This window comes from Homo sapiens, chromosome 15, assembly GCF_000001405.40.
Source record: "Homo sapiens chromosome 15, GRCh38.p14 Primary Assembly".
NCBI classification, from domain to species: domain Eukaryota; kingdom Metazoa; phylum Chordata; class Mammalia; order Primates; family Hominidae; genus Homo; species Homo sapiens.
Window position 1 is genome coordinate 47,838,055 of NC_000015.10, and position 12,958 is coordinate 47,851,012.

Consider the following 12,958-nt stretch of genomic DNA (forward strand, 5'->3'; position numbering starts at 1 on the left):
GCATGGTGCACTTTTCCCTGTTACACTCTTTACTCCTTGGGCTCAGTCCTATCAAGGGGGAGGAGGGGGAAGAGGAAGACAAAAAGAACTGCATGCTCTCCCTGCCCTTCTACACATTTCAGCTGGAGATGGGGAAACATTTTAATTTGGATGAAAGTTTAGAGTTTTATTATTAGGCTGAGCTGGACATTTTATTACCTGAAAGGAATTGCAAAAGCTCTGGATCCTGCAGAAGATTTGACCAGAGGGGATAACTGTCAACAGAGTGGGTTTGCAAGAGAGTGATGAAGAAGAATAAAGCTTCTTCCTGCTTCATCTGTACTGAGTTCAGCCTATTCTATGTATTTACATTTATCTGGGAGGGGGAGATACCTGATGATGATCAGGTCCCTGCATCCAACTGTCCCTCTCCGTTTTGCCTGAAGTAGAGTTGGGGTTTGATCTCTTTTATTCAAAAGGATTATGTGAAACCCAATCTGTATGGCTGAAGCAGGCTATAAATCTGTAGGTCTCATACCCATTTCTAGCCACTCTTAAGAGAGTACCTTATGAATTTTCAAATAGACTCTGACTACAGAGAAGAAAATAAATGATTTTGTAGAGAAAGATTTTTTTTTCCTTTTTGTAAAGGCAAAATAGAAAGCTATGCCCTTCTGATAAAAAAGACTTTCAAGGAAGGCTCAAATTCAGGAAAGACAGAATGTTGACAGTCATAGAGGAGAGTTGACCATCCTGAGAAGCAAGAAGGCTGGCAGGGCTATCAGTTAGACTACCTCTGTTGATGAGGAAACACTGGAAATTGAGGTTAAATGACTACAAGGAACTAGAGATCAGATTGTCCTAAAGTCACAAAGCCATCGTCGTAGCATGATAAACGAATGGTTCAAAGAAAATGAATCAGGATGAATCTGAAAGATATGTTGTATTATAATCTGAGGTTAAGAACATACTAGACTATAACTAACAATAAAAGGCACAGGATTATAGGCTAAATATGTCTTTCCTTAAAAACTGTTTTCCGAGTGAAAAAAAAATCAGCCTCTTCTTTCTCGGTGATTTGACAGGGGAATTAAACCAAATCTGGAGAACCATGTGGGCATATACTGATTGCAAAAGTCCTAGAAACACAGGACTCAAATAAATGGTGACAAGAAAAACCACTGTGAGAACAAGTTTCATTTAAAAACCAAAAATATTAATTGAATTTCATTCAGTAAAGTGGAGAGCCCTCAACATGAATGAATCAATACAAAACCCAATCTTCCCTTCCTCTTTCAGAGCAGAATTCGCTCCTTAGACTGGACTGGCTTTGTTGTCCTAAAATATAGCTCCGGCCAAAAGGCTGGATGGAAGCTGCTGAGCAGATGGGGCCTCAGCCTGTTCTGAAGTTCTGAGGTGGACTGACTCCTTGGGGAGCCATGGATGGAAAGGAGATGAGAAAAGATGTCAGAGAAGCCAAAATCCTCTGCAGGATCCCATGGTGGCCCTCCAGGAAAATCCTTTATTAGACAGGATCACGAGACACTAAGGTAGAAGGAATTCCCTCCTGTATCTCTGTTCTCAACAAGCAGTTACTGAGCAAAGCACTATTCTTGGTGCTCAGGCACTGTTCCAATCTTTGAACGCTGAGCAGATGTCATTGTCACCGAAGAAATGTGTAGCTGAATCACAGTGAGAAGAGGAAGGCAGACAGTGAAGGCTAAGATGAAGGGAGGAAACTGGCTTTTCTCTGTCTGCTAAGAAATTTAAAAATTAAAGTTCGAGTGTTAGGGTGCATGAATAGTGTTTGCTTTGCAATCAGCATTGATTAGAGAAGGACCTTCTTTGCATTTTGAGGTAATTTTTTTTTGTTGGCCTTTCATTTTGGGTGGCTTACTTACTGCAACACAGGGTAATGCGCTACATAAACTTTTGAAGTTACTCCAGATTTAAAATTCTATGTGCTTATGTTTTCTATTTTGCCTTATTTTTAGAATGTTTCTAATCTGACATATGCCTGTTTTACTGCATTAAGCAACTTGAGGACCAAACAATAAATGAATCACAGCCTCTGATTTTAAAAGAGTCATAGATGGAGATAAAAGAAGTGCCCAAATGATATCCTATTTTTAAATTTCTTTCAAAAAACGTAAAAATAAAACACAGTGGAAAACTACTCCAGACAGGTAATCATACAAGTTGTGGTAGAATGATTGCAAGAATTTTCCAAGTTTTTATTCTTTTCTCCACACCCTTTGTGATGTAACTTTGCAGTTTCTCCCACAGAGGGATAGAGTCAAGTTCCCTAAGCCTTGAGTTGGCTTTGTGACTTGCTTTGGGCCACAGAATGCAGCAGAAGTGATGGTGTGCCAGCTGTCAGCCTAAGCCTCAAGGAAATGGCCTTGCCATTTCCTCTTTCTTTCACAAACCTGTCTCCACCATGAGACCAATCCTAAATTAACCTGCTAGAGGATGAGAGGTCATGTAAAAGAAAGCATAGTTGTCCCAGCTAAGGCCATCCTAGGCCACCTCACAGCCAACCAACCCCTTGCATGTGAGACAACCAAGCCAAGATCAGGAGACCTTCCTACCATCACACAGCTGTCTTCAGATCCATGGGTGAAACCAACTGAGACCTTAAGAACCATGCAGTTACCTTGTAGGCAAATAAAAAAAAAAAAGAGTTCATTGCTGTATGTTACTAAAACTCGGTTATTTGTTATGCAGCTTTATTGTGACAATTGATAACCGATACCCAAGGCTTGATGAGACAAGCGTCTTTCAGCAAAGCCATGAAGAATGAGGAGGATTGTATCAGGGAGTTTAAATAGAGGTCCAGGCCAAAGGAATAGCATCAATAATACCATGGAGTGAGAAAGCTGAAAGTATTTTCACAGAATGGCAACAACCCAGTTTAATGAAAAGAGTTCAGAATTTCAAAATGACTCCTATCATGATATCAAGTAGAAGAACTGATCCAGAGAGTGGTCATTCTCTAGATAAGCTGCTCTATTGAAAGAAGGTTCATTCTGACATTGGGCCCCCTAAATGCCGGAGCTACGGAGATACAGATTGCACTCCTCACTGGGCTGGGCCAATAAGGTGCAAGAAATGGAAAGAGTTAAATCTTGTAATTGCTGCTGTTTTAACACATGCATCTGAGCAAGGCAAGAAAGGAAATACTTTCTTGAAATGAAAATAACATGATTGGATTGTGGAACAGAGAACTGGGACGAGTGAATACAGGTGTTTTAGCTGAGACAAACTTTTTATTTCACTGAAATTTAGAAGCACTCAAATCAGATTTTTGTATCGGCTTGTTGTTGTTCTACCAAGAAATTAAATCTAGGAACTTGCAGGTGTTACTGAGGGGCTATCAAGTTGGACTGCCTCAAAAATCTTTGGGGAAGTAGGTGGCATATGAATAATCGATACATAGCTAATCCCTTTTTAAAGAAACTGGAAGAAAAACAAAAACATAGTGTTGACTTCCTCATATTGATTGTTTGCTTTTACTTTATGTTCCCCCCTCCCATTTCCTGTTATTGCCAGCATGCTAGGTGACCGTTCTGTGTTTAATTACTCAAAAGAAACACACAAGAAATGAATGCCAGGGGAAAAGAGCTTCTCTATCCCTGAATGTCTTGTCAGAATAACCACCCCCAAGCTCTTTCTTCTCTGTGTAGGATAGGCAATACTTGTTTGAAATGAACAGAAAATAAAATGGAGAAAGCATATGGCTGTAAGGCCAGAGAAAGCAGAGTACAGGGGGGACAACTAAGCACAAACATGTTTCTCCAAGTAAGAGGCTCAGTGTCATTTTTTGGAATACAGTGGTTCCTAAATGGCATATTCCTGGGAATTCCTAAAACAGAATTCTCTTAAAATAGAAATCAGACACTTCTATCAGGGGACTCTGAATAATTAGATCCAGTTATCTTGCCCAACTGCAATAGCCATTATTCCCAACCTAGCTATTGCATAGACAGAGCCTCTGATATAAACAATGCTGAAGAGAATAAGAAAGATGTGACACTCAGTCAAGTGTCACACACCACTCTCTCCAACAAGCACAGAGGAAGTAATATTAATTTCTTCTCTCATTATTTCATTTGTACCCAATGCCTTCAGTGCCTAATAAAAGCTACTTTACTGCCGTGGATTATTTTCTGATTTAGTGACTATTTTATTTCACTATTATGAGGCTTGATAAAAGGAGCAGGGAGTGACACAGGAGAACTTCAATTTGAATTATAAGATTTCTCATTTGCAGTTTGGGCACCGAGACAGAACAACTTGACTCAATTTCACAGCCCTCGAACTGGAGTCCACACTGACAGGGAGGCAGTTCAGAGGCCTTGAGGGGGTGCATGCCAGGGGGCACCATCCAAGTCTGTAGAGAAACAACTTGGAAATTAAAATCTTTTAGTGAGAGTTAGAACAAAGCAGTGTGGGAGGGGGTGAAGTGGCAAAGAAAGGAATTATGTCTGTGTTAAGGATTCTAATACTTGAGATATTCATCTATTATGCCATTCTAAGAGCAAACGGTATGAAAGGGCCACACTTCGGTGTATATGCTTAATTAGCCACCTCAGTGCTATAGGTTGAATGCTTGCATCTCCCCAAAATTCACGGGTTGAAATCCTAAGCCCAAGGTGACAGTAGTAGGAGGTGGGGCCTTTGTAAAGGTGGTTGGAGCAAGAAGGCAGGGCCCTCATGATTGGGGTTAGTGCTCTTATAAAAGGGATCCCAGAGAGCTCCCTCACCCCTTCCACCACGTTTGAGCAAGGACTGAGCAAGAAGACTGCCATCTAGGAACCAAGAAGCAGGCCCTCCCTAGACACCAAATCTGCCTTGATCTTAGACTTCCCAGCCTCCATTACTGTGAGAAATGAATAGACGTTGTTTATAAGCTCCCCATATTATGGCAGCCTGAATGGACTAAGACTACTCAGTGACTAACCCAGATTTATGAACTTCACCATATGGATGCCAGTCACAGGCTGGCTCCCCAGGCCACACTCTGTTAAACTCAGACCCAAACACCTAGTTGAATTACTTCACATTGCTTTCCCTTTGTCTTAGCAGATTATCAGTTGAGCTAAAGGAAATGAACATCCTCATCTTTCCTGCACTGGACATTTTCTCTCAGGGTACCAGCCACTGGAAGAATGATGACCATAGAGTTTCTTGATTGAACTCATGATCTCAGCTTTTCTGGTCACAAGAACTAAAAGTCCCAACTTTAAGTGCTAGCCTGAGAACAACGCAAGTGTCAAGATTGCTCAGGAAATGTGACTTTCTTATCTTGCTCACAAAAAAAGTCATTGTTGCTAAAGCGGGTCAACAAAATTGATTTCAAGGGCTGAGATAGTGATTTTTCACCTGTGCCAAGAGAGCAAGTACTTTTTTCCCAGTGTTTTTTTTACAGACAATCATTTAACTTTGCCTGTAGATGTCAGTGTCCCAGTAACCTCCTTTGGACATGTTAGAAATGGTGTTGAGAACAGACTTCATGGTTTCTACCTTCTGCTTATCACCTCCCCAACAAATGCCCCCTTGTCTCCAATTTCTACGTACAAGAATATCGGTTTTCATGTCTCAGCTTGAGATCCTTGATTTAAATCCCTGATTTATTTTTACTCGTGTCCCCAGTGCCAATGTGGGAGAGTTCAGACATGTTTTCATATTCACTGAGATGTCAGAGAAATTAAAGAAGAGACAGATTTTTCATATCAGTCAGTTAAAGACTAATTACAACTGTGCTTTCCAGCAAACCAGTGATTGTAGGCTAATTTTCGGTTATGAAACAGAAACTGAGGTTAATGAGGCTAATTGTGTTTACCAGCATTTTTGAATAAAAGAAAAGAAGCCAACTCAATTTTGAAGAGACTTCTTTGTCAGGAACAAATTGGGGAAAATTGCTACAGTGGTATCAGCGTTTCCTAAAACTGCTAAGTGCCATGCTTGGGAAACTAACATCCTTGAACACAAGCTAGCAGTCCAGAAAATCAGGTCCTTAGACAGTGAGGCTTTCCTGATCCAAAAGGTATTGCTGCATGACAGTGATAGCTGAAATCTTGAAAGCAATGCCACATAGAGACATTCAAGTGGCTAGCCCTCGATTCTGTCTTCTTGGGTAAGGGGGAGAGGCAGGAGGAATAAGCATATGTTGATGTCTGATAAACCAACATTCTGGCTTTGCTGACTTCTACAGTTTGAGGGAGGTGACAGAGGAATGGAATCACCTGAGAAGAATACTGCTTCCAGCAGGAAACTAATGGGTAACTCTGACACCCCAAATGTGAAGTCACTGCCTCATGTTTTGGGTTGCTCACAAATGGTAATCCCTACTTCCCAGCAATTCCAACAAGGAAGAAGATTGGCTGTAAAAACTCCTGGGGAAAATCATCAGTCAAGAGCCAAAGTTTCCTGAGGCCATGAACCTCCACCAGGTAACAGTACAAGTATTACTGAAATACCAAGTTCATGGGGAAAGAGAGAAATGAAAGGCCAACATTTCCCATGTGGGCTCTATCGGCTTGGTGTGAAGGCTCCTCCCCTTTGATTACGCTAGACCATATGGCAGAGTTAACTGTGCTCTAGAAGAGGTTGATATGTGGCCACTAACATCAGATTACTTTAGTTCTAAATTTAGGTTCCAAGATCTCAATGTTTCTAATGAGGCCTCTATAAAGGATCCTTTGGAGGCATTAGGCAGACTCTAGTGGTACAGTAGCTTTAAGAAGGACAGCAGTATTTTGAAATGCATCACATTGACTATTATAATTCTGAACAACATACCCTGTTTTGAAGGATATCTGGGGTCCTTCAACTTCAGATTGTTTGAAGTAATCACAAACTATTGATATTTGTAATGATGGTAATATGTCCACGATCCAGCTAGGACTAGTGGAGCACAGGACATATGCCTGAGGAATACAAGAAAAAAAGATGACATGGCTTGCACTAAAGGAGTTTACTCTCTTCCAGGGAGACCAATCCCACCCACAGTTGACAAAATTGGGCATGAAATAAATTGTATGTTTTAAAGGACGGTCACATTAGGTGTAATTACATGCCGTAGTACAAGATACAGCAAGTGCTAAACACAATCAGAAATCAAAGATAATTCACATTCACTAAAGCTCTGTTCAAATGCAATTTCTTTTGTGGTCTCATCCCTCTAGTCACTGTTAGTCACCTTTTCCTCGGGGTATACTTGTCTATCTAACTAGTTTTTTCTTTAAACCGTAAGCTCTTTGAGGATAAATATCCTAACTTGCCCTTATATTCTTCACAGCACATAATAATGACATAAAATATACATTCAATAAATATTTACTAAGATGCAAATTAAAAAAGGGAAGATATTTGTGTTTTCTAGAGGTTACTGGGGAAAGAGTTATGGAGAATATAAAAAATAAGCCAGAGCCACAAGAGCTAGAGGGAGACAAATTTAGGTGAGAAAAAAGAAATTGACTGAGCAAATACAGAGAAAGTAACCAACTTGTTTGAGTGGCAGGGGTGGAGTGGGGATCAATAATGAGAAATCTGATGATAGATGAAGAATTGTCATAGATGAACGAAGAAAGCTGAGACAGAGTTTAGAGAAAATAGTTAAAGTATAAGAAGCTTAGGTTTGCCAAAATTCAACTCATTGATCCTTTATGTCCTTTTATGAAATGCATGAAGGTGTTTCTGGGATGGGCTTATGTGAGCTCAGAAAAATGTTTATGACTGCGAGCTTGCAAGGCTGGATGCCTGCTGCACTGGTCCTTTAGAGGTTAGAGTAGTAGGCTGCTTAGGTCAACAATGGAAGTTCAGAAGTAACCCTATGTACAAGGAGTGCTTATTGAAAATCAGGCCAAGAAACTATTTATTGTGGGTATCCAGGCTGTGTCTGTATGCACAAAATATCCTGGCCAACTCTGATTAGCCTAACCTGCCTGGCAAACTAACATGGTCTTGGCTCATAGGATCGAAGTACTGGCTCTCCAGGATCAACAAGGTTAATTAGTCATTTTCCACTGTGGTAACTTTTTGGATATTACAACCTATGCAAGGCATATATTTTCACATTAGATTTTCCTACTTGCTCATAGGATCTGCAGGCTCAGTCCAGGAGAAAACAAGCCTATGGCCACACTGGTGTGCAAAGACTGCAAAATCATCTAGGGATGGTGGGCTGGCTACTTTTTCTGTGGTCACAGGCCTGAGTGTGAACATCCCTATTCATACCAAGAGCCATTTGGTCACAATAGGGCTTTGAGGTCACTTGAATTCTGACATTCTACCCAGCAATCTCCAGAGTTCTCCACAGCAGATCCAGGCCATGGGTAGTTCACAGTGGGCACAGAGCCTCAGCTCATTAACATTTTATGTGTATGAGATAACTGCATCTTGTTTCTGAATAGAAAACTAGTACAGAGTGGCACCCAAATTTCCCCATGTCCAGGCATTCTATGCACTATTGTTTGCAAAATTATAGCAAAATCATGCATTCCTACTATTTTATAACAGGAGAAGGAGGACAAGGAGGAGGAAGATAATTGAGGAGGAGAAGAAGGAGTAAGGGGAGAAGAAGAAGGAGTAGGGGAAGAAGAAGAGGAGGAAAGAGAAGGAGGAGGAGGAAGAAGAGGAAGAAGAGGAGGAGGAGGAAGAGGAGGAGGAAGAGGAGAAGGAGGAGGAGGAGGAGGAGGTCGTCATTATTTTGGCCACCACCACCAAAATGTATCCTGATTGTTTCTCATATTTTCCAATCCAACATTGCAGAAGACTTTCTAATCTCCGTATTTATACTTAGAATTTAAAAATATTCTGAAGGTCAAGAAAGAAGTAGGCAAATCCCCAGGACAGACCCAGCCCTTATGCTCCTCACAACCTGCCTACTCTTGGCTTTTGCAACCTTGAGTTCAACTACCGTCACTTCATACCACCTGTCGCTCCCCACACATGCTGTGTGCTTTCCTGCTTTGTTCCCTCTCCTAGGCTGCAGCCCCTCACCCTCTGCCAAGTTCTAGAAGTGCACAGCATTCCTGAAGGCCTGGTTCAAATACCATCTCTTCTGGTAGGCAGGCAGAGCTCGTCACTCCCTCCTCAGCATGCCCACCCCTGACACTGAGCACTCTTGTCCACTACCTAATTTGTCATGTTGTCATGAAGTTAGTGTTTGATGAATGTGTCCCTTGCTTCTTTGTGAGCTAAGTAAGGATATAGAATGGAGTTTACTCTCATAGGCTGGCATAAAGTAGGTATGCAGAAATAACATTTACTGGATGAATCAATGCTTGCATGCATGAGTGAGTGTATTAAACAATAAAGTTAAAGAAAGAGCCCTCTATTTTCTTCTGAGAGAAATCCTTTCTAAATAAGACAAGGATAAATTCTTCCATGGCTGTAAACTACTCTGTGGGCATAGAGCTAAAGGTTTTGAACTTACTCTTAGAGGACTCTGGTAACTGATATGATACAAAGAACCTAGGAAGATATAAAAAGAACCAAAGGCATTCTGTTACCTCACCTGAGAACAGAGAGAGCAAATTTTCTGAATTAACAGAGTAGACTCCTATTGCTGCATATTTTTGTATATATGAGTGTGTGTGCACACGGGAGGACACACCTGTGTGAGTGGGGGGGGCAGTGTGTGTATATGGGGCAGAAGTCAGGGCATAAGGATTGAGGAACACATGGAGAATGTATCTGAGTTGATAGAGTTAATAACAGACTCTACACAATTACAGGAAACACTTGCACACTGAAAATAATCACAAAAAATATAGAAAATTTGGCCGGGCGCAGTGGCTCACGCCTGTAATCCCAGCACTTTGGGAGGCCAAGGCAGGTGGATCACGAGGTCAGGAGATCAAGACCATCCTGGCTAACATAGGGAAACCCCGTCTCTACTAAAAAATACAAAAAATTAGCCGGGTGTGGTGGCAGGTGCCTATAGTCCCAGCCACTCGGGAGTCTGAGGCAGGAGAATGGCGTGAACACAGGAGGTGAAGCTTGCAGTGAGCTGAGATTGCGCCACTGCACTCCAGCCTGGGCGACAGAGCAAGACTCTGTCTCAAAAAAAAAAAAAGATAAAAGAAAATTTGCAGATTTCTAGAAACAACTTTGACCCTTAGTCCTTTAAAAAAGCAAATAAAAATATGGACTGCTTATGACTGCAAAATTCACTCTTCTTCATATTATCAACTTCTTTGTATTCTTCTATTTTCAAAAAAAGTTAATATTTTGTCTCCCAGGTTAAAAGCAGGAGATTTCCTATTTGTCTAGCTGGACTAAGTTCTGTCTTCTCAGAATTAGGAAGGCAAGAGCTTAGCATCAAACAGGCTTAGACCTCACAAAGCCATTCCTAGCAACAAACAGGAAGTAAAATGCACAGATTTAACAATATGAGACGTTGGTAGAGTAAGTCAGTATTTACCAGGTTGACTGCGTTATGCAGTATAGAAAATTGGTCTATTTGTGAATATTGTGTAATTTCATATACAATTGTTTAATTATAATTTCATTTTAGAAACAAGCTGCTTAGCTGGGTGTGGTGGCGAGGGCCTGTAGTCCTAACTACTCAGGAGGCTGAGGTGGGAAGATTGCTTGAGCCCAGGAGTTTGAGGCTGCAGTGAGCTATGTTTGTGCCACTGCACTGCAGCCTGGGTAACAGAGTGAGACCATGTCTCTAAAAAAAAAAAAAAAAAAAAGTAATAATAAAAATTAAAATAAGCTGCCATCTCTAACATACATTATACAGATTATAAATGAGTCTAACATGCTATGGAGGGAAAAAACTCATGTAGGCCTAGTTCATACTAACAAAACTGCAGTCTGAAAACAAGTGGTTAAAGGGATATCCCTTGCCTCAAATGTTTTCACTATTTTTTCTCTAAAATTATGAGAGTAGTTGCCTAAGTTCTCCAGTTCTCTATGTATGTGTAGCTATAGATGAAAACTCGTTTGCTCTGGAAATAAAATGCTTTCTAAAGCATTTGCTAATGCTTTCTAAATGAAGGTCAAGAAAAGAAAGAAAAATAGTATGTTTTGTTGGAGGAAAGTTTCAAGTTTAATTAAATTATAGAACATCATGATTCAAAGGAACTTCAGGGATCGTCTGATAGAAGTCTTCATTGAATTATCAAATCCTGGCCCAAGTGGACATCAGCTGCTACTTGGATCTTCTAATGACAAGAAGTGCAAGAGAGAGTATCTCATTTGTTTCCTGAAAGTTCTGATTGTTTAAACTTCTAAGTACAATCTGCCTCCTGAACATTCCATTGTAGTTCTTTGATCTGGAGCCGTACAAAAGCTTCCTCTTTTACATGTCAGCTTTACACACCACCCTCAGCCTGGAGGATAATTAAAGTTGCTTGGAATTTGCCACTCAAGGAATCGTATCCTACCTGAATGATAATATCCCACTAGGAGAAAATCAGGGCAAGCTCATGGTCAGTGCCAATAAACCTTTCAGAAGTTATGGACCAAATGTCCAAATTCCTATGTTGAAGCCCTAATCTTGAATGTGAAGGTAGTTGGAAGTAATTAGGTTTAGATGAGGTCACAAGGATGGGGCCCCCATGATGGGATTAATGTCCTTTTAAGAAGAGGAAGGCACCAGAGTTCTCTCTCTCTTTCTGCCATGCCAGGTCACAACTAGACATGGCAGTCTGCACGCCAGGAGGCGGGCCCCTACCAAGAATTCAGCCATACTGATGCCCTCATCATGTGCTACCCAGCCTCCATAACTGTGAGAACAATTGTCTGTTGCTTAAGCCACCCAGTCTATGGTATTTTGTCATAGCAACCAAGTAGACTAATATAAGAAAGAACCTATAAGCCTGCTCTGTCCAGTATGGTAGTCATCAGCCTGCCAATTGTGATTATTGAGTGTTTGACATATGGCTGATCTAAATTGAGATGGGCTGTGGGTGTAAAGTACAGAGCAGATCTCAAAGACTTATATGAAAAAAGAATGTAAAATATCTGTTTAATTTTCTACATTGATTACATGTTGAAATAGTAATCGTTTATAATATTGAATAAATTAAAATAATTTACTAAAATCAATTTCATTAGTTTTTTTTTGTTGTATAATGTGACTTAGAAAATATAGAGTCATATACATGACTCATGCTATAGTTTTATAGAAGAACACAGCTCTAAAGGCAAGCAGCTGTTCACAGATGTGACAAATCCAAGTCTAGCCTGGCCTCTGCTTTATCCTTTCTTACTTCTGCCTTTCCCCAATCCCACTGGCCCATGTCCCTTCTTTTCTGCATGTTTGTAGCAGGGTTCACCCTCATCCTCACTAATGTCAAGTCAAACCTCAAATTTGTATGTGGCTCCTCAATTGAGTACTCAAAACTCAGGACCACATGTTTGAGGACTCTAATGATACAGTAATTGGCCCTCAATAGGCTAAGCTCCATTCACTCAAACACTCAACAATTTTTTTTGCAGTTACCTCATGCTAGGTATTCTGTTGGGAATAGAAAAATGAATGAGATAGTCCCCTCTTGTATGGAACACATGCTTGACTGGGAAGATAGATGTTAGACAAATATACATACGTGCACATACAATAACTTGTCAGTTCAAATTGTGATAAATTCTATGGTGCAAGTAGTATGACCAGAGGATCTTGTATACCTTGGAAATCACAGGGAGCATTTTTAAGGAAGCGGTAATGAAAGGAAGATTTGAAAGGCAGGAAGGAGTAATCCGGGTGAAGACCAAGAGAAAGAACTTTTTAGGTGTGTGATGGCCTCAAAGTGAGAAAGAGCTTGGCCACATTCAACTAAATGGAAGGAGGCTGATATAAACAAAGGGCTTGGGGTCAGGAGGAGAACGGGCCAAGATGAGGTTGGAGATGGAGGCAAGGCCCATATCAAAAACTGCTGCAAACCATGTCAGGAAATTTGTACTTTAAGTATACTGACTGCCAACTGAAAGATTTTAAGCTCTACAGTGACAGGATGAC

At 40.7% G+C, this 12,958-nt stretch overlaps 1 long non-coding RNA gene across 1 annotated transcript in view; it reads right to left on the reverse strand.

Moving 5' to 3' along the window:
* LINC01491 (long intergenic non-protein coding RNA 1491) overlaps positions 1–8,182 on the reverse strand; it is a 42,853-nt gene extending 34,671 nt beyond the window's left edge. Inside the window, exons 1-2 of the long non-coding RNA NR_120336.1 lie at positions 8,075–8,182; positions 6,784–6,911 (exon numbers count right to left, since the gene is read on the reverse strand). This is a non-coding gene — a long non-coding RNA (long intergenic non-protein coding RNA 1491). The remainder of the gene's footprint in view (positions 1–6,783; positions 6,912–8,074) is intronic.